The 27,212-nt window shown below is 43.0% G+C and overlaps 1 protein-coding gene across 4 annotated transcripts in view, besides 1 other annotated feature; it reads right to left on the bottom strand.

Moving 5' to 3' along the window:
• CMTM8 (CKLF like MARVEL transmembrane domain containing 8) overlaps positions 1-27,212 on the bottom strand; it is a 132,130-nt gene that overhangs the window by 70,853 nt on the left and 34,065 nt on the right. Inside the window, exon 3 of one of the 4 annotated variants that reach the window (XM_011533416.4) lies at positions 16,810-16,878. The exons of 2 other annotated variants lie outside the window; for them this stretch is intronic. In XM_011533416.4, the coding sequence (XP_011531718.1) occupies positions 16,810-16,878 (69 nt within the window). Of the gene's footprint in view, positions 1-7,313; positions 8,077-16,809; positions 16,879-27,212 lie in introns of those variants that run through there. One more of the 4 variants, XM_017005779.2, reaches the window with a different exon arrangement.
• Positions 10,371-10,420: an enhancer, noted in NCBI's record as "active region_19633". NCBI's record gives its function as "activates an Ori minimal core promoter by ATAC-STARR-seq in GM12878 lymphoblastoid cells {active_cell/tissue: GM12878}" and the evidence as "EXISTENCE:reporter gene assay evidence [ECO:0000049][PMID:35858748]".

Genomic DNA, 27,212 nt, shown 5'->3' with positions numbered 1-27,212 from the left:
AAATGACCTAATACCAGATTATATTTTCCTCTTGAATCAATGACTCCTATAAAAGGAAAGTTGATCTCTGGTGTAGAGACAGTTGAGCTAAATAGAATCTTGGCATTTCAATGGTTAAACCAAGTACTTCAACAAGTTTACAAAATACAGAGTAACCTAAGCCAATATTTTCATTGATTCAAACCAATGGTCCCTTTTAAATTCTTCTCCAAAAGGAAGGAGTAGAAGGAAGAAAAATTAACATTTGGAAATCGTGCCTTGAAATTTTCTCACCTTACACTGTATGATAATACAGGCTCTAGGCCCATGGGCTGTTTTCTATGAAAATACGTCAGGACTCTTTGAGGTGTGATCCCAAGAGGGATTTGAAGCAGCAATCTGAGCGGGGCACAGTGTTTCGTGTCTATAATCCCAACTGTTTGGGAGGCTGAGGTGGGAGGATCATTTGAGCCCAGAAGTCCAAGAGCGGCTTGGGCAACATAGCCTGGACCCCTGTCTCTAAAAAAAAAAAAATATATATATATATACATATATATATATATATGTGTGTGTGTATGTGTGTGTGTGTGTATGTGTGTATATATATGTATGTGTGTGTATATATATGTGTGTGTGTATATACACACACACATATATATACACATACACACGTGTATATATATATATATATTAGCTGGGTGTGGTGGCGCATGCCCCTAGTCCCAGCTGCTTGGGAAGCTGAGGTGGGAGGATTGCTGGAGCTCAGGAGAAGGCTGCAGTGAGCTGAGATCGCACCACTGCACTCCAGCCTGGGTGACAGAGTGAAACCCTGTCTCAAAATTTTTTTTAAAAAGCAGCAATCTGATAAGGAGCCGAATGATAGGAGAGCAAGTGAAATATGAAGTCAGGATTGTTTCAATTTAATTAGCAGAAGCTGGATATAAGAAAAATATCTAGCAAGGATCGCCCTGGAAAGAGACCAAGAGTGCTCATTCTGAAATTTTTTAAAGAGAATGAAAGATTTCAGAAAGTAAAAAAAAAAAAAAAAAAAGGGGGGTATGTTTATAGTATCTCTGTATTTTAGATCCTCAAATATTTATATAGAGTTTTTAATTAGGGGCTGGACGTGATGGCTCACGCCTGTAATCCCAGCACTTAGGGAGGCCAATGCGGGTGGATTGCTTGAGATCAGGAGTTTGAGACCAGCCTGGCCAACATGGCAAAACCTGTCTCTACCAAAAATGCAAAAATTAGCTGGGCATGGTGGTGGGAGCCTGTAGTCCCAGCTACTGGGGAGGCTGAGATAGAATTGCTTGAACCTGGGAGGCAGAGGTTGCAGTGAGCCCAGATTGTGCCACTGCACTCCAGCCTCAGCGACAGAACGAGACTCCAGCCACTGCCCCCCACCCCCAACCAAAAAAAAAAAAAAAGTTTTTAGTTAAGAGATTAGAGAGCTTTTGTTGGAGTTCTGAGCAATGGCTGCTGCTGATGACCATGAAACCAGTTGAAGAACACAAGCCAGACTTCTTTACCTTGGTGCTTGAGTTTCTCATCATCTCCAATTTTTAAAATGTTATTCTTATCCAGGGTTCCCTCATAAACACTTCAAGTCCTTAAATTAACACTCAGTCCATTTTCCCAAATCCTTCCCACACACAAACCTTATTTTCCCACCCACAGACCTGTATTTTAAAATGCCAAATCCCCCTGAGTTTAAGAACTTGTCTTTCCTTAACTTCCACAAGCTGGTAATTAACTTTCCAAATGAGGCTGGTGAGCAATAGAAGAAATTGTTATCTTTCACCATCAATGTTTTGCACAAGATGCTGTGATGACACTGCTGGGATTTCAGACAGACAAAGCAGCCTGGAGTGTCTGCGCCACCCCAGACGGGGCTGCTGCTAGCCACAGCATTCTCTGTGCAAGGTTACCACTGTATTCCCCAAGGTGAGCTTTAGTCACAAATGTTGGTTCACAGATAAGAATAGCCTCATCAAAAGTTTAGGTACAGGCCAGGCACGGTGGCTCACGCCTGTAATCCCAACACTTCGGGAGGCATAGGTGGGTGGATCACCTGAGGTCAGGAGTTGGAGACCAACCTGGCTAACATGGTGAAACCCCACCTCTACTAAAAAATGCAAAAATTAGCTGGGTGCAGTGGCGGGCGCCTGTAATCCCAGCTACTTGGGAGGCTGAGGCAGGAGAATCACTTGAACCCAGGAGGTGGAGGTTGCAGTGAGCCGAGATTGTACCACTGCACTCCAGCCTGGGCAACAAGAGTGAAACTCCATCTCAAAAATAAATAAATTAAAAAAATAAAGTTTAGATATCCCTAGACTGTGTACATTCAAGGTGAGGAAATGATGTAATCTTTCTTTGAACCCAGAGGGCAATTTTTCTAAAATCATCTTTTTGCATCAACACATCCTAAGGGGATGTTTTTCTCTCTGTTCAATGGCTAGACCACAAACCTTCCAGAAAAACAACCATCCTATGAGAGCAAACACACGGGGAGGGAGTGGAGAAGGCATCCTCAGGATCCCTTATTTACAATAACGAAAATGTGGAGGTCATGGTGGACGGCTCTGCTGCCCTCTACTGGCCATGTCAAGCATCATCAGCCACAATAACACACAGTCTGCCGCCCTGGTTTTTCCCTTTGTGGTTTTAATTAGGCACTGCTCTTCCCGAGGAAAACCTGGGTGAGAGAGGCAGGAGGCCCCCACCCATGGAACCTCAGATCTGGATGGAACATCTAATGCAACATGGGCACATTACACAACCCTAAGGGGTGCCATTCCTGTGGAATACATCAACAGAGCTCTTGCACTTAAGCAATCCTGCAGCCCCAGTGGGTCATTTAATAAATGCCCCAGAATGGTAAGTGATCATTCCAGGGTCATCAGACCTGTGATGGACCAGAAGCAGGACCTGTTGCTTGCCTCAAGGGAGTGGCAAAGGGAAACAAGATTCCTACAAAGGAAAACAGGTTCCGACTGGGCTGGCCCCAGTGAGGAGAGCCAAGTCAGAACATGTATCCACTTCCTATTCTACGCTTCAACTATCCATCTGTCTAGCCATAACTCATTGTGCCAGGTACTCATTGCAGATACATACCACCAGATGGGAGAGACAAGCCTACTCCGGAGGGGGCTGAACAATTAGGGAGATTCAGACAAGTAAACCAGCAATTACCCTATAATGCTGTAGAAGTCTGGGTCAGGTGTGGTAGCTCATGCCTGTAATCCCAGCACTTTGGGAGGCCGAGGTGGGAGGATCACTTGAGCTCAGGAATTCAAGACCAGCCTGGGCAACATAGTGAGACCTCATCTTTATTTAAAAAAAAATAAAAAATAAAAGGCTGAAGCAAAGAAGTCCTGATTGTTACTGAGCACAGAGCTGGAGGGGCACACAACACAGACTGAGAGGTGGGAAAATCAAGGATGGTTTCCTGAAGACAGTGACATCCAAGACAGAACAAAAGGATTTAAAGGATATATAGATATTAGCCAGGTGAGGTGGGCATGGAAACCATTACAGGCAAGTGGAATAACAGGTAGAATAAAGCAGAGATGAGACAGCATGGAACATTTTAGGAACTGGAGGTCCAGTGGAGCTGGAACGTAGGGTGGATAGATATCCAGGCAACAAACAAAGCCAGATAGAAAGGCAGGCCCCGGATCACACAGGGCCTTGCAGTCCAGGAAAGGAGTCTGAACCATAGCCCGGAGGCCATGAGGAGCTGCTAGGGGTTTAAGCAGAGGGGAGACATTAATAGATGTGGGTATGGGTTTCCTCCATCATACTAGGCTCTGAAGAGGTTCCATGAAGGGCAGTCATCCTTCCTGCCCCCAAGGAACTTACAGTTCCTCAACTTAACAAAATGATATACAATAGTTGGATCTATGCTTACTACTGAATCATTTACTTCTATTCATTGGGTGTCTATCACCCTAATTGAATGCAAGCTCCACAAAGACAGGGATTTTCTCTTTCCGCTGTTTTGTTTTGTTTTTTTTTTTTTTTTTTTTTTTGAGATGGAGTCTCGCTTTATTGCCCAGGCTGGAACACAGTGTTGCAATCTTGGCTTACTGCAACCTCCGCCTCCTGGATTCAAACAATTCTCCTGTCTCAGCCTCCCGAGTAGCTGAGACTACAGGTGCACGACATTATGCCCAGCTAATTTTTGTATTTTTAACAGAGATGGGGTTTCACCACATTGCTCAGGCTGTTCTCGAACTCCTGACCTCAGGTGATCCACTTGCCTTGGCCTCCCAAAGGGCTGGGATTACAGGCATGAGCTACCGTGCCCAGCCTAAATCCTCAGTTTTGAGATCTATGCCTGGAACAAAATATGTGTTCAAATAATTGCTGAATAAATCACCATTCACTTCCTATAAAGTTTGTTGTTTTGTTTCATTTTGTTTTATTTTTTGAGACAGAGTCTTGCTCTGTCACCCAGGCTGGATTGCAGTGGCATGATATCAGCTCACTACAACCTCCGCCTCCCAAGCTCAAGAGATTCTCCTGCCTCAACCTCCCAAGTAGCTGGGATTATAGGTGTGCACCACCACACCCAGCTAATTTTTGTAGTTTTAGTAGAGATGGGGTTTCACCATGTTGGCCTGGCTGGTCTCAAATTCCTGGCCTTGAGTGATCCGCTCGCCTCGGCCTCCCAAAGTGCTGGGATTACAGGTGTGAGCCACCGCATCTGGCCACAGTTTTGTGTTTTAAAGAATAGACACAATATCTTTATTCACTGCATGCAAGGGCACATGGAAGGCAGGGCAGAAAACAAGAAGACGGATCTGCCCTCGAGGAGCTGATGTTTATTAAATGCCTATCTGCTGCCGCATACTTTATGTGGCTTCTCCTAGAGAAGTATCATTCCCATTTTATAGATGAGAAAACTGAGGCTCCAAGAAGAAATTTGACCAAGGATCCAGAGATAGTAAGTGGTAAGGCTGGAATTCAAAACCAGACCTGCCTGACTGCAGACTCCCACCTGGCTCTGGGCAACAGCTATGTGACTGGCAGCCACACAAGGCAGCAGCACTAAGCCAGAGGGAACGTGGAGAAGGACAAAAATGCAGCGTAAAGCATAATCGGAAAACGTTTCATAGAGAAGAAGGCATCTGGAAGCCTCACAGGATGTGAAAATGTCTAAAGTGAAATGGAAGAGCATTCCTGACAGAGGGACAGCAAGCACAAAGACCTGGACACAGATGTGCACAGGACACTTGCCATTCAGGGAAAAGCAGACTAGGCTGAGTTCACTTAGCTCCTTGTTCACGATATGTAAGGCTGGATCAATGTTACTCAGGTTAAGAAACATGAGGCACTTCTCACCTATGGGATAGGCAAGAATTCAAACGTTTCACAATCCTGTTGGTGAGGCTGTGGAGAAACTGGCCTCTCAAGTCACTGCTGATAAGAGTACCAAAGGGCACGACTCTCATGGAGGAGAAATCTGGAGGTGGCCACCAAAATGAGATGTATTTACCCTTGATCCTGCAACCCCAGTTCTGGGATCTAACCTACAGATACACCTGCACAACCAATACACCTGCACAACAGATACACCTGCACAAAGAAGAATGACACATGAACAGGCTTACTCACAGAGCACAGTTTGTTTATTTATTGAGGCAGAGTCTCCCTCTGTCACCCAGGCTAGAGTGCAGTGGCACAATATCAGCTCACAGCAACCTCTACCTCCTGGTTCAAGTGATTCTTCTGCCTCAGCCTCCCGAGTAGCTGGGACTACAGGTGTGTGCCACTACACCTGGCTAATTTTTGTATTTTTAGTAGAGACGAGGTTTCTCCATGTTGCCCAAGCTGGTCTTGAACTCCTGACCTCAGGTGATCCACCTGCCTTGGCCTCCCAAAGTGCTGGGATTACAGATGTGAGTCACTGCACCTGGCCTATTTATTTCTTGAGACAGAGTCTCACTCACTCTGTTGCCCAGGCTGGAATGCAGTGGCACAATCTTGGCTCACTGCAACCTCCGCCTCCCGGATTCAAGCAATTCTCCCATCTCAGCCTTCCAAGTAGCTGGGATTACAGGTGGGCACCATGCCTGGCTAATTTTTGTACTTTTAGTAGAGATGGGGTTTCGCCATGTTGGCCAGGTTGGTCTCAAACTCCTGACCTCAAGTGATCTGCCCACCTCAGCCTCCCCAAGTGTGGGGATTACAGGCATGAGCCACCACGCCTGGCCTGAGCACAGTTTAATAGCTACAGATTGGAAACAAGTACCCAATTAACCACAGTGGACAAGTTCAATCAATGATGGCACCTCCACACCATGGACTGCTACATAGCCGCCAAAGTGAGGGCAGCCTCCACTGATTCAGAGATCTCTAGGATATCTATACATGTAAAAGTTAAATATATATATATATATATATACACACACATATATACACACATCATATATTCTGGGACACATGTATCAGGATATGGATAGACGTCTATCAGGACATGGATATATATCTATCTATTAGGATATGGATATATGTCTATCAGGATATATGCATGTCAGGAAGAGAAGCTATGTGTATAGATTGCTCAAGGAAAAGGGTGAAAATCAAAATGCACGTTCGCATTTGCCTCTATTTGCATAAAGCAGTGGTTTTCAACTACAGGTGATTTTGCCCTTCACAGAGCATTTGGCAACATCTGGAGACATTTTTGATCACCATGACTCAGGTCAGTGGGTTGCTACTACTGGCATCTAGTAGGTAGAGGTCAGGAATGCTGCTAAGCATCCCACAATGCACACAACAGTCCCCTGCAGCAGAGAATTATCCAGCCCAAAATGTCAACAGTGCCCAGGTTGAGAAATCCGGGCCTAAAGGATAAACAGTATCCTTTGTTTATCCAAAGAAAGAGAAATAAGAACCCTAAAATTGTCATGTGTCAGTGGTAGGGTTAATGGCAGGAAGGCGGGGGAGAGCAAGATTTCTGTGCACAGCTTTTCATACTTTTGAACCATGTAGATGGATTACGCAGTCTATGCCTATTTGAAAATTGAATTTAATTGAGAAAAGAGAAACACAAAGTTGCAACATATGGGAAACAGGAGAGGCTTCAGATCAAGACTCAGCTGGGTTTCCAGAAACTCACAAAGTGTCCTTGTCTCTTGGCCCCTGTCTTATCTGTGAGGCATCTATACGAGAGGAGCTCAAGGTCCCTTTGAAATCTCCAATTTCGCAATCTCCTCTGATTTCAAACTGCCCTGCATGATGAAGGTGGGGACAATCCAAGGTGGCGTGGATTGAATGTGGGAGGCAGACATTTCTACCACACGCAAACTCAAGCTCATGAATACCTGGATTCTTCTGAACATTTTCTCCAATAATCTCTCCTTGAAACACAAAACATTCTGTTTCCAGGCCAGGTTGTTAAAACTCAAACCACAAGGTTGATCCGGATAGAAGGTGATGAGAGCTATAGATCTGTAGGAAGAGTTCAAGTAGATATAGTCTCACCTAATTTATTTTTTCAACTTCCAAGAAAATATTTACATCCTATATGCAATCACCAAGTAACAAAAAACAACAGTAATACAGGCCATGAAACTAGTCACAACTAGTTATACAGAGTGGCAGGAAAGGACTCCCCCTCTAATCATACATTCTAGGAACTAGGTTTAAGGAGGCAGGGCTTGGGACCCAGCCATACAGTACCTAGATCATAGGCTTAACAGACCATACACTAGGCAGGTGCTGGGTATCTCAGGTTTTCTAGTGGGAAAAAGGCAATTCAAAAATAAGGTTTCCAGATTCATTCTTTTTTCTGGATTCCCCTGTGGCCATGCCAAAGTGGCTACTACTCATCCCTGTATTAAAGCTTGGTAGAATGCAGTCTAAACTGACAACCTACCTGCTTCACTTTCTAGCTATGTAGCTTTGGATAAGTTACTTAACATTTCTAAGGCTCAACTTCCTCATTTATATAAGGGAGAAATTATCTCATGGGGTTGTTTTGAGGGGAGTAAGTGCCTAATGACTTGTCAACAATTGACCTTCAATAAATTTTCTTCTCGGCTGGGCACGGTGGCTCACGCCTGTAATCCCAGCACTTTGGGAGGCCGAGGCGGGCGGATCACGAGGTCAGGAGATCGAGACCATCCCGGCTAACACGGTGAAACCCTGTCTCTACTAAAAAAATACAACAACAACAAAAAAATTAGCCAGATGTGGTGGCGGGCACCTGTAGTCCCAGCTACTCAGGAGGCTGAGGCAGGAGAATGGCGTGAACCCGGGGGGCAGAGCTTGCAGTGAGCCAAGATTGTGCCACTGCACTCCAGACTGAGAGAGAGAACGAGACTCTGTATTAAAAAAAAAAAAAATTTCTTCTCTACTCAAACTCACCTTTGCCTCTCATCTCCCATTTATCCTACATATTGCTAGTGGTAAAATCTTGAAAATAAAATTGGCCAGGCACAGCGGTTCACGCCTGTAATCCCAGCACTGTGGGAGGCTGAGGTGGGTGGATCACTTGGGATTCAGAGTTCAAGACCAGCCTGGGCAACATGGCAAAACCCCGTGTCTTGAAAAAATACAAAAATGAGCCAGCCTCGTAATTCTTCGACCATTTCACACTAGCTGCTACAAGCCTTTGCTGGGCTGTGAGATTAGTTGGCCTGCACTTGGTCTAACCAGATGCTTATATAATCAGTCTGCCTTGTTCCTCTGTCATTAGCCCATGACAAATGATTGTAACTCAGTATAAATGTGACTGCAAACACAAACACAAGTGTCTAGCCTGAAATCACCCAGAAGCCCTTGGGCAAATTTTAAATTCCAGAATTTGCTTGTATTGTTAAAATAACAGAAAAATTTGTTTTTAATACTTGAAAATACAAACACCGGCCCTAGCCTGAGAAACAGCAGCAGGTTGGATCAGGTCTAAACTCCATGTTCCAGCACCAAAGTCCTCCAAAGCTGGCCTTGGACTACCTGTTTCACATATAACACATTTTAGAAGCAGCTTAATATACATGTACATTATCCATACTCATACAAAATTGTGATTTGAATTATAATTACATTGAATGTGTTTATTTAGGAACTGACATCTTACAATACTGATGCTTCCCATTCATGAAAATGGTACAGCTTCCCATTTATTTAGATCTTTATCTTTCAATGAAGTTTCTAGGTTTGCTCCATAAAGGTAATATATAAAGTTTTAGAAATATTTGCAAACTGTTTATTGTTTGTGTACAGAAGTGGAATTGACTTTTGTATTATGACTTATATTAAGCAATCATGCTGAACACTATTTTGTAAATTCTCTTGGATTTTTGTCGTAGATAATATGATTATGAATAATGACTGTTTGTTTTTCTTTTCTTTTCTTTTTTTTGAGACAGGGTCTCACTCTGTCATCCAGGCTGCAGTACAATGGCACAATCTCAGCTCACTACAGCCTTGACCAGGCTCATGTGATCCTCCCAAGTAGCTGGGGCTACAGGTGTGCACCACTACACCTGGCTAATTTTTGTATATTTTGTAGAGATGGGGTTTCACCATGTTGCCCAGGCTGACCTTGAACTTCTAAGCTCGAGCAATCTACCGGCCTCGGCCTCCTAAAGTGCTGGGATTACAGGTGTGCACCATCATGACTGGCCTCCTTTTTCCCCCATCCTTGTATTTCTTATTCTTGTCTTACTACACTGGTTAGGGCCTCCAGGGCCTACGATGAATATAAATGGTAATAAGATCCTTATGTTCCTGATTTTATAAAAGAAAGCTTCTAATGTTTCATCACTAAGTATGGTATTTGCTGGAGGTTTGGGTGGCTGGTCCCACATTTTCTATGCATCTATTTCAGTTAGACTGGCTTTCTTGTTAATATACTAGCATACTGGCATCACTGCTAATATTATTACCTCAGGTAATATTTCAGGTATTGTGCTCAATACTTACTGTATATTCTCTCCCCTCTCCTAGCCTGGAAGGATCTCTCCCTTCTTTTCTACTATCCATCCTTCAAGGCTCCTTTCTGATCCCACCTCCTCCAGGAAGCCTTCTTTGACACCATGGCTCTCTGAAGCTTCCTGATTTCCTACTCATTTGGGGAAAAGTCATCAGAGTTTGTCTTAGAGGCCATAGAGTATACAGCAGAGTTCATTCTCAAACTTGAGGCCCAAAAGACAGTTTTGTTTAGCACACATAGTGTTGGTTAATTCAGTGTTCTGAGAATTTTTAAAGAGAAGGTTAATCAGGAGATTTTAAATTAAAATTCAGATTTAGGGCATCTCTGAAAAATTAGATCCGTTATCGTTGGGGCTTTCACTTCTTTATGGGCACAATCAGCTGTAGCCAAGTAGCAGTGACCTCTTCAGACAGAAGTTTCAATCTCTGGTTCATCACAAACCCACTGCTCCCTGTTGCCTTATAACGTGCTTTGCTCATATATTCTGCCTTCCTGGCCCCTGTATGCAGCTGATTTTGTGACTTCCGGTAAAAAAGAAACTGCAAGACACAAAGTACCACATGGTGGCTTTGTCACTTACTGGTATAATCTTAGGCAAGTCACTAACTTTTTGAGCCTTTTCATGGTTTCCTCACCATGAAAATGAGCTAATGGCATGTACCTCAACTAATTCATAGTTATAGGAAATTCGACTGAGATAGCTCACTGGAAACCAAAAGGTGCTTTAGAAATGACAGCTGCGGCCAGATATAGTGGCTCACGCCTGTAATCCCAGCACTTTGGGAGGCCAAGGCGGGCATATCACGAGGTCAGGAGATCGAGAACATCCTGGCTAACATGGTGAAATGCCGTCTCTACTAAAAATACAAAAAATTAGCTGGGCGTGGTGGTGGGCGCCTGTAGTCCTAGCTACTCAGGAGGCTGAGGCAGGGGAGTTGTTTGAACCAGGAAGGTGGAGGTTGCAGTGAGCTGAGATTGTGCCACTGCACTGCAGCCTGGGTGATAGAGCAAGACTCCATTTCAAAAAAAAAATGATAGCTGTATAGCCTACTCAACACAGTGAGACCCCCATCTCTACAAAAAAGTTTTTAAAAAATTAGCTGGGTGTGGTGGGTGCCTGTAGTGCCAGCTACTTGGGAGGCTGAGGTGGGAGGATCACTTGAGTTCAGCAGTTCAAGGTTACGGTGGGCGATCATGTCACTGAACTCTACCCTGAGTGACAGAGTAAGTCCCTGTCTCTAAAAAATAAAGAAATGATAGCTGTATTTTCTTCTACTTACTCTCATATATGAAAGTCAGCTCCTCAATTAAGTTGTAAGCTCCTTGAGAGCAAGGACCCATCATCTAAAATCCTGTGTTAGCAGAGTCCTGAACACAGAGAAACAAAGATGTTGTCAAAAGACCATGGATTGCAAGTCAGGCCAACTGTGTTCAGATTCCAGGTCTACCTATTTGATATCTGGAAAGTGACTTAATCTTCCAGAACTTTAGTTTTATGATCCGTAATAAAACATGTCAAATAAATATAATGTATCGTGTGAATTAAGATTTTGTAAATACTTTTTTTTTAAAGCCATAAACGGATCATCTCTCTCTTGCCAAACTTCAAGCACGGAATACTGTCTTGTGAGGGGCAGCTGGCATATGAACATATTTCCAGATTCTTTAGTGGTTTTCCTTATAATCCTACCAGCAGCCTCCAGATAATTTTCCTATCTCCTTCACTCACAACCAAAGCCTGAATCAATATCTCTTCTGCCATCTCCATATGGTTGAGGGAATACATTAAATAATGGCGGACACATAAAATAATGTGCACTTTTATTCAAATAATAATTTTCTAAAATATTTATTTGGATTCTCACAATCTAATCGACCACAGAAGGCATTTGTGTATTCTAATAAAGCCTTATTTCCCTAACTCTCATGTTTTCATTTAACTTTACTCTGAATTGGCACTTCCTTGTAATTCCTATTATACATAAAGACAAAATATACAACTTTTCTAGATTTCACCCAACCTATATTAAAATTTATTTGAACACTACAAAAATAAATCAGTTAGTAATAGTTTAATGGTATTAACAGCTGAAGGATTTCAAGATTTTAAGAGTGAGGGCAGTATCACATTGGTCCTTAACCTGTTTAGGAGCAAAATATCTGAGGGTTTTAGGTAAAACTTGGAAAACAAAATTTATGACTCTGTAACATTTTAATTCTTATGAAGACAAAAAATTGAAGAAAAACTTCAAATTCAGAGGAGTAAATGGCTGTGTGTCTGAAAGAATGTAGATGATCTTACCTTATGTAGATTCAAACATTATTAAGAAGGTGCCCAATAAAAATGATGGGTAAGTGCCAGACACCTTAAATTGTTTCATTTTAGTCCTCAAAGCAACTTTGTAATGGATTGGGTCAGTATAACCACTTTAGACAAAAAAAGGAACAGCTATTAGCTAACCCCAAATTAAGCAAAGCAGCCACAAATAGGCTGCCACTGCACCTCACCATTCCACCTTTAAAGCAGAAGAAACCAAGTTTCAGAGGGCCTTGAGAGATCTGCCCACGCTCAGAGCCGAGAGGCTATCAGGCAGGGCTGGAGCCCACATCTATCTGCCCTTTCCGGCAGACAAGTGCACCTGGACAACACGCTACAGCAAGCTTGTCCAACCTGCGGCCCTCGGGCTGCATACAGCCCAAGATGGCTTCGAATGCAGCCCAACACAAATTTGTAAGCTTTCTTAAAACATGAGTTTTTTTGCGCCCTTTTTTTTCAGCTCATCAGCTACCGTTAGTGTTAGTGTATTTTATATGTGGCCCAAGACAATTCTTCTTCTTTCAGTGTGGCCCAGGGGAGCCAAAAGATTGGACAGCCCTGCTCTACAGCAAGCTGCCTAGAGCTGAGAACATGTGTGTTACGCCTTCCTATGGGAAATGGTGCCAATCCTACAAAGCCTCCCATGCAAAATGCAGGCTGGGTTTATCTGGGCCACAGGAGCAGCCTTCCTCCCAGCCCAGAGAGAAACTCATTGCACAGATCTGGTTTTGTGGGGAACATTAACTTTGCCACCAAATTATATAGTTTCCACAGCTTCTTCGTTTACCCCAGCGGCCAGCAGTGTGGAGAAGGAGCTTGCCAAAAGTGACAGTGCCCATCACAGTGCACAAACTGTGGACCTGAGGCCACATCTAGCCCACCACCTATAAGCTAAGAGAGATTTTTATATATTGAAATGGTTGGAAAGAATTCAAATTTCAGGTTCATAAAAAAATTATTTTTAATTTGCAATTTAAAAGATTTTAAGTTGCATTTTTAAATGCACCACACTCATTCATGTACCGATTGTCTCTGGCTGCGTTTGTGCTACAGTGGCAGAGGTGGGCCGCTACAACAGAGACTGCATGCTCTGCAAAGCCCAAGCCACTACTATCTGACCCTTGACGGAAAAAGTCTGCCGCCTCCGGAAGTTGAGTGTTTGCTTGCAGAAGGCCCTGAGCTTTAGCTACATTATACACATTTAATTCTCCCATCGTCCTGACAGGGAGGTATTGACCTAACTGCAGACCGCCTGAGAGAATTTAAGTCACCTGTGTCCATAACTATTCTTTCATCCAAACATCTGACTTCAAAACACAGGTGCCACACACTGTGCTAGGAGACAGAGAATTTAGCAGTGAACAAAACAGACTCAGCTTCTGCTTTCTCCTGGGGGAGAAAGGCACAGAGCAAATAGGTAGTTAAGAATTACGTTAAATGCCAGGAGAAAAAAGTCACCTCTCAGCTGGGGTAATGGGGGATTCAACACAACTCTGTTGCCAAGGCCCTGCTTTTTAATTATAGACTCATAAACAGTGCAGAGAGGTGTTATACATCCATCACCCAATTTATCTAATTAGTGGCACCTTATGTAACTACAGTACTTTATCACAACCAGGAAACCAAAATGAGCGCAATACACTTCACATAGATTTCACCCATTTTTACGTGTACTACTAGTATTATTATTAATTTAATTTTTTTTTTTTTTGAGATAGAATCTCGCTCTGTCACCCAGGCTGGAGTGTAGTGGCGTCATCTTGGCTCACCACAACCTGCCTTCCAGGTTCAAGCAATTTTCATGTGTCAGCCTTCTGAGTAGCTTAAATTACACGTGTGTGCCAACACGCCCAGTTGATTTTTGTATTTTTAGTAGAGATGGGGTTTCACCATGTTGCCCAGGCTGGTCTCAAACTCCTGGCCTCAAGTGATCCATCCGCCTCGGCCTCCCAAAGTGCTGAGATTACGGGCGTGAGCCACTGCACCCAGCCACTGCACCACTATTATTTTTTGTGGTATATTTTTGTGTATAATTCTATGCAAGGTCCCTGCTTTTTACTACTATATTACATAATCCCAAATTGAACCACCTCTAGCATGTACCCAAAGTGGCCCTGAAAGCAGTAACATTTAGGGACTGTTCTCTACCCTCCCTGAGGAATTTCCATTTGCTCTTGAACCAGGTCATATGAGGAAAAGGTGTGTACCTTGATCACCTTCGCTGGGGCCTCTCAGACTCTGCATTAAACTGCTCATCAAAGTCAGGACTTCAGTTTTCCCCCTTACAAGGAAAGCCACATGAATCCTGCGTCTGCATTTCTCCCAATTTTCTTGAGAACAAGACCGAGGACACCACTCAAAATTCCTAATATAATCGCCCACATGAGAGAACTCTCAAAATAGAACCAGGAAAAAACAAAAACAAAAACCTTTCCCTCAAACAACTGACAGGCTTCTTCCTTTCTTGTAAGAAGAACTGTAAAGCCATTCATTTATACAGTAAAATATTTATTGAGTTCCTCCTGGCTTCCAGGTACTGGAGTACAAAGATGAACAGACACAGTTCATGCCCTCTGTGAGCTGTGATCACAGGTCGGTGCTGGAGACAGGCACCAATCACCTAGAATGTCTACTCAAAGTCCTATGTCCACTTTTAAATGATACTATATAGTTGGCTACTCGGATTTTTCAATAGATAACCCAATGTGATGACTAAAGGGGAAAAATTATGAGATATAATGCAAAGGCTGGTAGAAGGTGAGGACAAGGTGAGGCAGCCCCACTCCGCTTCCCTGGGCACTGGGCTGGCAGAGGGCATCCAGCTGCATGTGATTCCCCTCGCAGATCCCGACTTAACTCTCAAGACTCCCTCACTGCTTCCTCCTGTTCTTTCAGGCCAGGTTTCTTGTTTTCCACTCTTGTTTTGTTAAATCTAAGTGTATATATTTTTTTGTTATTGTTGTTTATTTTTGAGACGGAGTCTCGCTCTGTTGCCCAGGCTGGAGTGCAGTGGCACAATCTCTGCTCACTGAAACCTCTGCCTCCCGGGCTCAAATGATTCTCATGCCTCAGCCTCCCAAGTAGCTGGGACTACAGGCATGTGCCACCACACCCAGCTGATTTTTTGTACTTTTAGTAGAGACAGGGTTTCACCATGTTGGCCAGGCTGGTCTCGAACTCCTGACCTCAGGTGATCCGCCCACCTCGGCTCCCCCAAAGTGCTGGAATTACAGGCGTGAGGCACTGTGCCCAGCCCTAAGTGTATATTTGTGTGTGGGTTTATGTATACTCATAAAGCTATTTCAAATCCTTTTTGGAAAGAAGTGGGCTATAAATATTTACAAATGGAGTTTCAGAAAAGATACCACAGTCATCTGAACACACCTAGAGCACTGTTTTCTGGCCATAAACTACGAGCACATCTGAGTGCCTGCCTGGATTGCCTCATTTCTTGCTTATTCCTCCTCGGGGCCTTCCTGACATCTTAGTTCTCCAAGTGTGGAGGGTGGGACAGAGGGGAGGGGATGTATGTGTGCATGTAAAAAACAAGTTGTTTTTTGTGTCAAGATAAATCCTGAAAGGCAGACACAGTAAACATCCTGCTATGTAGGAGAGACCCATATGACGGTCAACTGCCCGGCCTGAAATGCCTAGACGTGTCCCGGGATCAATGGCACCTCAGTAAACTGTCGCCATCCTGTTCCGCAGGCTCCAGCTCATGCATGGGGAAGGAAGCTAACTCCCGGGGGACGTGCTGGTCACATTACATGCGCCTGCGATGTGAGCTCCCCGACTGCAGCACAGAAGCCAGATAGCAAGCGCTCAGTCTGAAGAGAAGAAACTCAAATGACTCTTCCCCCAATTGGAGCCAATTCACAAAGTTTTGCTGTATGACACGTTATAACATGATAAAACGGACTATCCCAAGGTGGAAAAGACAGAGAAATGTAAATACAGTAACAACAGTAATAGCAGGGACAAGATGACCACATGCTTCCCAAGGCTAAAGCAGGGATTCTCAACTTTTTTCATTATCATGCTCCCCCTAAGCATTTATAAACATTTCCTCCCCCTGTATGAAAAACTATTTTTCTTTCAACATTTATTTAGTGCGTGTTATGTGCAATTTAAGTACTAGGGATACAGCAATGAAAAATACAGTTTCTACTCTCACATAACTCATGTTCTAGTGGAAGCATCAGACCAAAAAAACAGTACATACATCAGATGGTAACAAATGCTATGGAAAAATACTAGGCAGGCTAAGGAGATAAGGGTTAACTTATTACACAGAATGTTCAGGGAAAGGAGGTGCTGAAATAAGACCTGGAGAAAGTGGGTTCTAGGCAGGGAGAAGAGAAAATACAAACACCTAGAGCTGGAGCATGCTTGCTGTGTCACAAAAGCAGCAAGGGGGCCAGAGCAGCTCACCCAGGAGTGGAGCGCAGGATATAAGGTCAGAGAGGTAAGGGAGGAACCCATGGGGTCTTGCAGACTGAAACTGAACAGACTGGCTCTCTCACTCCAAATGCAATGGGAAGTGGAATATCATGACACATCTTACCAGGATATCTCTGGCTGTTGTGCTGAGAGCAGACCGGTGTAGGGGGTCGGTTATAGGCAGGGAAATCAGCTAAGAGGCAATATAAAAATAATACAAGAGAGGATGTTAGTTTGGCTGAGGGTGATAATACTGCAGGTGGTAAGAATTGATAACATTCTGGGTATATATTTTTTTAATTTTTTTCTAATATCGCCAAATCACCATTCTCATAGCTAAAAATAATTAATGATAATATCCAATATCCAGTCAATATTCAAATAACCCTGATCATCTCATAATTATTTTATGGTTGCTTGGATCAATATCCAAATATGGTACATATATTGCAACTGACTTTTATCTCATAAATCTCTTTTAATCTATAGGCATCTCCTCTATTCCTTTTTCTTTAAAATTTATTTTTTGAAAAAACTGGGTCATTTGTCCCGTACACACAATCTAGATTTTGCTGACTGTGTCCTCATGGGTTCTTTTAATATGTTTCTCTGTTCTCTGTATTAACCCAAAACTGATACTTAGCCTGAGTTGCCTATGAGACATATCAGAAGAGATGGTGAGTGGGCAGATACAAATCTGGGATCCAGGGGAGAAGTCTAGGCTGGGGCTAGAAATGAGGACCTATAGAGAGAGTTGAAAGCCATGATTCTGAGGGAATGAGTGTAGACGGAAAAGAGGAATGTTCTAAGGCCTGAGCCCTGGCACTCTTGTATTTACAGTTGGGGAGATAAGGAGGCACCAGGAAAGAAGATGAGGTACACATCCAGTGAGATAAGAAAAAAAAATTAGGACAGTGACCTTTGAAGCCAAGAAAATAAGATATTTAAAGGATTGAGGGGAGGGGTCAACTGTGTCAATGTGGCCTTCAGGCTCAGTATGATAAGCACTGAAAGTTGACCATTTGGCTTGGCAAAACAGACGTCACTGGTGCCCTTGGTAAGAGCTGTTTGGGTAGACTAGTGACAAGGCTGATTGGAGAGGGTTCAGTCAGGAGCAGGTGGGATGAGAGGAATTAGGAAATAAAGACAACTCATTCAAGAAGTTTTGCTGCAAGGTGGAGCAGAGAAAAAAGGTGACAACTGTTGAAGAATGAGGGACATATCTTCTGGAGGGAAGATATGTTACAGTTTTCAAGATGGCATTCATCACAGCATATTATCTCCAGGAAATTTTAACATCTCAGATAAACTGTCTATTTAGATACTACATGTATATATGTACTTTATTCATTTAAAAAAGGTAAGATTTCCCTCCCTACCCCCAAGAACCAGTTTTTGCTCCCTTGCAAGCAACACCACCCCTTGATGAGAATGCATGTGCTAAATTAATCAAAACGTTCCAAGAGAAGAGACGAATCCAGCTGCCTGACTCTTCCAACTTTTATTAATGTAAAGAGTTCTTTTGATGGGTAAGAGAAATATTTTCAGGTACAGTGTAGCCACTAGAGAGGTGCCAGGGAAAACAGAGCTTACAGCTAAACATGTGCTCCTACACAAAATCCTGCCATGGTGGGCCTACAAGGTATCTCTACATACTAATAGTCATACACAGGAGCATCAAACCTCAGGATTGTCCCCATGCAGAGATGGGGCTTGGGGAGTTCCAGGATAACTCCCTTCAGAAATAGTTGGGTGCACTGAATTAACAGTCTACCATTTAGAGTCAGGAAGATCTGGTGTGAATCCCACTTCTGCCGCCTCCTGGTTGTGACCTTAGGTCACGATAATCTCTCTCACCCTCAGCTGCTTTATTTATAAAATGAGACAAAGGTAGTTCCAAATATAATTGTCACTTTTTTTTTTTTTTTTTTTTTTTTGCCTATTTTCTCTCGTGTTGGAGACCTACCTTTCCTTCAATGTAATTTGAGTAGGGTCGACTCCACCCCAGGTACCAGAAGTAGACAGATGACCCAGGTATGGCCAGACTACTTATGTTACCAGTGACGGGTCTTGACTGTGAGTCATCCAGGTTCTTGGCACTTTGAGCAAAGAATTGGACAAAACACACAAATGAAGCAATGAAACTACAGATTTTTGAAACGAAAGCACACTCCACAGTATGGGAGTGGGCTCAAGCATGCTGGTTATGGAATTTTCTGGGGTTTAAATACCTTCTAGAGGTTTCTCACTGGTTACTTGGTTACAGCCTATGTAAATAAAGAAGTGGCCCATGACCAGTCTGATTGATTGCAGAAGGCAACCAATCAAAGGCTGAAGTGAAGTTACAAAGTTATACCCCTATGCAAATAAAGACTAGGCCCACGACCAGTCTGATTGGTTGCAGAAGGGGACCAATCAGAGTACTTTCCATTTTCCATCTGCCACGAAGAAAAAGTGGGTGGGGGTGCAAAGGAAGTAGCTTATGATCCTTTTGTTACTTGGGCATGGAAAGTTGGGGTTTTCCTTTTAATTCCATTCTAGGAAATCAGCGTGAATCAGCCTTAGGTTCCCTGCTTCCAGACCCTATTCTCCCCCCTCACTTATGCCTGGCCACATTGACTGGACTGAGAATGGCCATGTGACCTGAGCTAGGTCAATCAGGGACTTCCTCCTGATTGGTGGCCACTACGAAGTGCTTGGTTACCACTATGAAGCAATAGATTTATGGTTTCTTAAAAAAATCACTAATTATATTGACAGTGGGGTGTTAAAGTCTCCCATTATTAATAACAGACACTTCTCAAAAGAAGACATTTATGCAGCCAAAAAACACATGAAAAAATGCTCATCATCACTGGCCATCAGAGAAATGCAAATCAAAACCACTATGAGATATCATCTCACACCAGTTAGAATGGCAATCATTAAAAAGTCAGGAAGCAACAGGTGCTGGAGAGGATGTGGAGAAATAGGAACACTTTTACACTGTTGGTGGGACTGTAAACTAGTTCAACCATTGTGGAAGTCAGTGTGGCGATTCCTCAGGGATCTAGAACTAGAAATACCATTTGACCCAGCCATCCCATTACTGGGTATATACCCAAATGACTATAAATCATGCTGCTATAAAGACACATGCACACGTATGTTTATTGCGGCATTATTCACAATAGCAAAGACTTGGAACCAACCCAAATGTCCAACAATGATAGACTGGATTAAGAAAATGTGGCACATATACACCATGGAATACTATGCAGCCAGAAAAAATGATGAGTTCATGTCCTTTGTAGGGACATGGATGAAATTGGAAACCATCATTCTCAGTAAACTATCGCAAGAACAAAAAACCAAACACCGCATATTCTCACTCATAGGTGGGAATTGAACAATGAGATCACAAGGACACAGGAAGGGGAATATCACACTCTGGGGACGGTGGTGGGGTCGGGGGAGGGGGGAGGGATAGCAGTGGGAGATATACCTAATGATAGATGACACGTTGGTGGGTGCAGCGCACCAGCATGGCACATGTATACATATGTAACTAACCTGCACAATGTGCACATGTACCCTAAAACTTAAAGTATAATAAAAAAAAAATTAAAAAAAAAAATCACTAATTATAAGAAAAATACAGAACCGTGGGTGGCATCTTTGTCATCATCATGCAGAGAAACTCTTTCTAAGAATGAAGCTTATTCAGAAGAAAGCACAGCCAAGACACTGAGAAGAGAGACTGAGTCCTGCTATCTATTGAACTCCTGGTTCCAGCCATACCTGAGGCTTGACACATAGCTCAGCTTGTCAGATACACGAGCCAGTAAGTGCTCCTCCTTTTTGTTGTCATGGAAGCCAATTTAGCCACGTTTCCATCATCTACAGCTGTACAGGCTGTGACTAATACACTATTTCACTGTTAGATATTAAAAATGCTTTTAAGTTCTAGGAAGTGTCTTTCACTGAATGAACACTCAGTAAACAGGACTGACCCTTAGTCTGTTATGTACCCAGTGCTGTTCTGGGCATCAAGTATATAAAGGTAAGTAAACTAAAAGGTATTATGTAAAATTGGCAGCTTATATATTAGGATGGTTAACAGAGATAACTCAATTTGGGAAGGGAAGCATGGGGCTGCGTTATCCTGAGAAGGAGTTTGCCAGGCCTGAAAGGGAGGCCAGGTAATTCTAAACAGAGGCGGCAACAAATATAAAAGCATGGAGGTGTGTTGAAAGAGATGATCAGGGCACAGCTGAGAATGCAAACTCAAATGCCTACAGGGACCAAGCAGGTAACATAAATGAGTGAAACACATCAGTTACAAGAAAATAAATGACAATGACTCTTGACCTCAATTACGGGAAGACTGGAGAGAGCTGAGAATAGCAGCAAATAGGTGACTGCAAGGCCCCTCACAGCACAGAATATAGTTTGTCCATACCATCCGCTCTCACATTCTGCCTTTAGTAAGAAGTGGGTTTTAACTATTCACATGGCCACGTAGATGAGGACCACATTTCCCCAGCTTCATCTGCAGTCAGATGTGGCCATGCTGTACATTCTGACCAACAGGATGCCAGAGGAAATGATACATGTAACTTCCAGGTTGGATCTTGAAGAAAGGGATCCTCTACTTCTCCATCCTACTGAAGGCTGGAGCAGACAGGATGGTGGGAAATGAAGCAGTATCTTGGATCAGAAGATGGAACCCACTGCAGAGAACAGGGAAAACCGACAGAAGTGGGCAGCGTCTCTGACACCACGGAGCTATCATGTCTGCCCTGGGCAATTAGTGCTTTGACTGTCATGACAGAAAAACAAGTTTCCACCTTGTTTAAGCCACTTGTTTTGGTCTTTGTCACAACAGTCAAACATGCATCTTGACCAACACTCTTACATGCAGAGGGCAGCCACTTCTTGGCTCCAAAGGATTACTGCCATGAGGAACTATGGGCTCAGTATTGTGCATTTGTCCAATTTTCCAAGAGATCATGGAAATCTAGATTTTCTTATAATATCTGATATTTACTTACTGGCAACTAATTCTGATTTTCAACACTGTATAGGCCAACACAACTGGTCTGGGGCCCAGTATCATTTCTGGTCCACAGGCCTCTCCAAAATAAAGACTTCATTGGAACAAGTAACATAACTTCGGGTAATAGAGTCCTTTGAGTTTGGACAACACAACACAGTTCCCGCAAACTCTCATCACCCTCAAATGCAGTCCCACTCCCTGGAGAATAAGCCAGATGTGGTGGCACACACCTGTAATACCAGCTACTTGGGAGGTTGAGGCAGGAGGATCACCTGAGCCCAGGAGTTTGAGTCTAGCCTGGGTAACATAGTGAGACTCTGTCTCAACAAAAAAAGAAAAAAAAAAGGAAAATAAAAAAAGAAAGAAAGACAAAGGGAGAATCCTTGGAAAATGGACAGACAAAACCTCTAAGTCAGCAGCAGCAACCACCGTGGGGCCTTACTTGCCCACAGCCTCACCATGTAGGGCCTCCCTGGACACCAGTAGCCTTTATCAGGATTAAACTCTGTTCCTTTCTCTTCTCCCTTTCTCTCCTTTTCAAGACTAAATAATTTCTCAGGGCTGGGAGTGTTGGAGCATACCTGTAGCTCCAGCTACGTGGAAGGCTGAGGTGGGAGGATTACTTGAGCCCAGGAGCTCAAGACTGGCCTGGGCAACATGGTGAGACCCCAATCTCTACAAAAAAAATAGTAACTTAGCCGGGGATGGTGGGATGTGCCTGTAGTCCCAGCTTATTGGGAGGTCGAGGCAAGAGGATTCCTTGAGCCAAGTTCAAGGATGCAGGGCACTATGATTGTGCCGCTGCACTCTAGCCTGGGTGACAGAGTGAGACCCCATCTCAAAAAAAAAAAATTTCTCAGGAGACAGGGCTAGATATTAGAATCATGAAGCAAGAAAACAGCAGGTGAAAAAGGCATCCCTCAGTTTGATATGGAAGGTCTGGCAGCCTCACCAAACAAGTTCATCCAGACAAACAGCTTCATGAAGGAGGAGTGGGAGGTGGCATAAAGGAAGACACAGAAGGTGCAACATCCAAAGCTCATTTTGTGGGAACCATTGACGACACGGGTTACAAGAAAACAACCAAAGTGGCATCAGCATTGCCTGGGGCCCCAGCTAATACTCCCCTCCAAAGAACAAAGATCTTGTGTGGCGCAATTTCAGCTGAGCCCAGCTTTCTCCTCTGGATTCAGATAAAGCACCCATGCAAAGGTCCATGGCTAGCCACAGGCAATTACTCTAATTGCCAGCCAAGCAGTGCCAGCATGAAGGTATTTCTCATACAAGTTCAAACCACTTGCTATCCTCTCAAGTCAAAATAAACATCAAGGAAATATCCACGGCATTGCTGTTGCACAATGAGAATAAAAACAATCATGTTACAGGAAAAGAAGTTCCTGTTTATAAGGCCCACTGCCCTCTAGGGAGCTGCTTCTGGTTTGGTGAGAAGTCTTTTCTCTGCACCCCCTCACTGAATTAAGATACACAGTTTGGAGGTAGGAGCTGGAGAGAGTTTCCCTGAACAACAGAAGGAGAAGGATTTGGAGAGGAGGAGGACGAGTAACCCAGGAGGGAAGGGAGACAAAACAGAAGGGGAGAAGAATGGAATAGGAGGTCGGTCTGCATTCTCTAAAAGCCTCTGTACCCGTCATTGGTCAACATCTAAAACCAACCCACCACTGGGACCAGTGAGCTTCTTACGGACACCAGAGATGGATGACAGCAAAGGATAAAGGAGGTGGGTGAGATGGCAGAAAAGGGCAAGAGAATACGGGCTCTTTGGGAATTAACTGAAGTACATACGAGTGGTAACTCACACCTGTGATCCCAGACTTTGGGAGGCTGAGTCAGGCAGATCACTTGAGGCCAGGAGTTTAAGACCAGCCTGGCCAACATAGCGAAACCCCATCTCTCCTAAAAATACAAAAATTAGCCAGGCATGGTGATGCACACCTGTAATCCCAGTTACTCTGGAGGCTGAGGCGTGAGAATTGCTTGAGCCCTGGAGGTGGAGGTTGCAGTGAGCTGTGGTCACACTATCACACTCCAGCCTGGGTGACACAGCAAGACTCTGTCCCCAAAAAAAAAAAAAAAAAAAAAAGGAAGTACATGGGGGGCCTTTGTGCTCCTCACACAGATTCTGAGCGATTTCACCAATACCTTTGAGGGACAGAGCGGCCCCCATGCCATTTGGATACTATCATCTCCCCCAGAACAAGGGTTATGAGTTCTTACAATGCGCCAGTGCTAAACAATTTACATGAATTTGCATTTGATTCTTTCAATAATCTTAAGAAGTGGGTATTATTAGACATATTTTACAGATGCTTTAACATGTTAAATATTTCACTTAAGATCACAGAGCTAATAGCAGCAGGGCCAAGACTCAAAGCCAAGTCTGTTTGTCTCCAAATTCTGTGTCATTCTGCTCAGAAAAAGATCACATTTAGCTTGCAGAAAAGCAGCACTTTGGGAGGCCAAGATGGGTAGACTGCTTGAGCTCAGGAGTTCGAGACCAGCCTGAGTAACATGGCAAAACCCTGTCTCCACAAAAAAAAAAACCAAACACCCAAGTTAGCCAGGTGTGGTGGTGCACACCTGTAGTCCCAGCTACTTGGGAGGCTGAGGTGGGAGGACTGCTTGAGCCTTGGGAGGTTGAGGCTGCAGTGAGCCATGATTGCACCACTGCATTCAAGCCAGGGCGACTGAGTGAGACTCTGTCTTTTAAAAAAGAAAAGTGATTATAGTTTTATTCACTAATCACAATATACACTGACATCCCAAGCCCCTTGATGTATGGTACTAAGAAGGACAAACATCACTTCAGTGGGATTTCTGCCAACAACACATAACCTGAATCTACTCATGAGGAAACACCACACACACATAATTTGCAGAGCATTCCCCAAACAGCTCACTTGGATTCTTCAAAATTGTCAAGGTCATGAAAGACAAAGACTGAGTATTCTAGACTAAAGGACACTAAAGAAGACATGATGACTATATGTAATATGTGATCTTGTGCTCTATCTTGGACAGGGAAAAAGAATATAAGGAACATTATTAGGACAATTTGGTAAAATTTGAGAATGATAGTTACACTGTGGTTATGCAGGAGAATACTTTTGTCCTTTAGAGATGCATGCTGGAATAGCTAGGGTATTTAGGAGTGTGATGTCTGCAACCTACTCTCAATTGGTTCCATAAAATATGAAGCAGACAGACAGGAAGGAGGAAGGATGAAGCAGGATATTTACATTTCAGAAATTACAGTGAAAGTATGAGGAAGGTCACTATACTGTCCTTACAACTTTTCTTAGCGCCTTGAACTTTTTTAAAATAAAAAATTAAAGGAATTCTGACTTCAATTTCTAGCACTGTGACAGACTGGGTATCCTCCCAAATGAAACAAGTATGGGTAAAACATGAAATTTTTTTTTTTTTTTGAGACAGGGTCACCCAGGCTGGAGTGCAGTGGCATGATCACTACTCACTGCAGCCTTAACCTCCTGGGCTCAAGCAATCCTCCCACTTCAGCTTCCCAAGTAGCTGGGACCGCAGGCATGCACCACCATGCCTGGCTAATTTCTGTAATTTTTGTAGAGACCGGGTCTTGCCATGTTGCCCAGGCTGGTCTCAAACTCCTAGGCTCAAGTGATTCGCCTATCTCAGCCTCCCAAAGTGTTGGGATTACAGATGTGAGCCACCGTGCCCAGCTAAAACATTTTTAAACATGTTGCTGAGCTGGCATGAAAAGAAAATATCCCAAGAAGCCAAAAATTAAATAAAACAAGAATCCTGGGAGTCATCAAATGCCAAAACCAGTTTCCACCCTGAGAGTTTGTTAAACCTTGAGGACTCTTAAGCTTCCAGCTTTTTTTAAAACCACTTCAAGATATAATGCATACATCATAAAATTCACCGTTTAAAGTGTAGAATTCAGTAATTTTTAGACTATTCAAAGAGGTATGTAACTACCACAACTATCCGATTTCAGAACATTTTTATCATCCCCAAAAGAAACTCCATATCTATCAGCAATAGCTCTCCATTCCTCCCTCTCCCAGCACGCACTAACGCACTCACCTACTTGCTGTTTCTATGCATGTGCCTATTCTGGACATTTCCCATAAATGGAATTTGACAATACATGGCCTTTTGTGTCTGACTTCTTTCACTTAGCATAATGTTTTCAAGGGTCATCAATACTATAGCATGTATCAATATTTTATTTCTTTTTATTGCCAAATAAGTTTCCATTGTACGGGTATTCTGTTTATCCATTCATTCATCAGTTAGTGGGCAATTGACTTGTTTCTACCTTTTGCCTATTATGAATAATGCTGCGATGAACATTTATGACCTTGAGAAAGCATGTGTGTGTATGTATATATATATGTGTGTGTGTGTGTGTACACATACATACACATATCTTGGGATACTTTCTTTTCATGCCAGCTCAGCAACATGTTTAAAAATGTTTTAGCTGGGCACAGTGGCTCACATCTGTAATCCCAGCACTTTAGGAGGCTGAGATGGGCAAATCACTTGAGCCCAGGAGTTTGAGACCAGCCTGGGCACGTACACACACACACACACACACACACACACACACATTTGTTCCAATTTCTCCACACCCTTGCCAATACTTGTTACTGTCTTTTTAATTATACCCATCCTTATAGGTGTGAAATGGTATCTCATTGTGATTTTGGATTGTATTTCTCTAAAGACTAATGATGTTTAGCAACTTTTCATGTGCTTATTGGCTGTCTGTATATCTTTGGAGAAATATCTACCCAAATCCTTTGTCAAGCTTTCATCTAGGTACAGGGTGGTGGGAGACAAAGCAAAGGGCCCATTTAAGGTGAAAGTCTAACAGGAAACCACCCATGTAAAGCTGGGATCTTAAAAGGCCATCCCTTCAATGTGAGGATGGACAAGAAATTAACTCAGTGTCCAGAGGGAGCAGCAAATTAACTTGAGTATCTCAATCTTGGCAATGAGTGGAGGGTGAAAAGATGTCCCTTTCAATTTATAGCCCCACATATTCTCTCATTTGGGTTGGGTCTGAGTCTATGTAGGCCATAAAGAACACAGTAGATCTGGAAAAGTTCAAGAATTTCTAGAAATGTAAGAGAATTGAAATTCAAAATCCAATGATAGATTAAACAGCTAAAAAAAAGAATTAATAAAATTGAAGTTATATAAATAACTAAAATGCAGCCCAGGAACCCAGAGTTGAAAATTATCAGTTTAAAAGACATGGAAGATAGAGTCTAAGGATCTAACACACATTTAATTAGAGTTTTAGAAGTAGATGAAATAAAATGGGAAAGACAATATTCCCAATGTTTTATGAGATAATGGCTGATAATTTTCCATTATTTGTTGAAAGAGTAGTAATTAGATCTAAGAATCTCAACCAAACCCAAGGATAAATAAAAAGAAAACCTTAGCTAGACATATCATAATGAAGTTGCTGTATA

Source organism: Homo sapiens, chromosome 3, assembly GCF_000001405.40.
Source record: "Homo sapiens chromosome 3, GRCh38.p14 Primary Assembly".
In the NCBI taxonomy this organism is placed as follows: Eukaryota; Metazoa; Chordata; class Mammalia; order Primates; family Hominidae; genus Homo; species Homo sapiens.
This window is presented reverse-complemented; position numbering and strand designations above follow the sequence as displayed.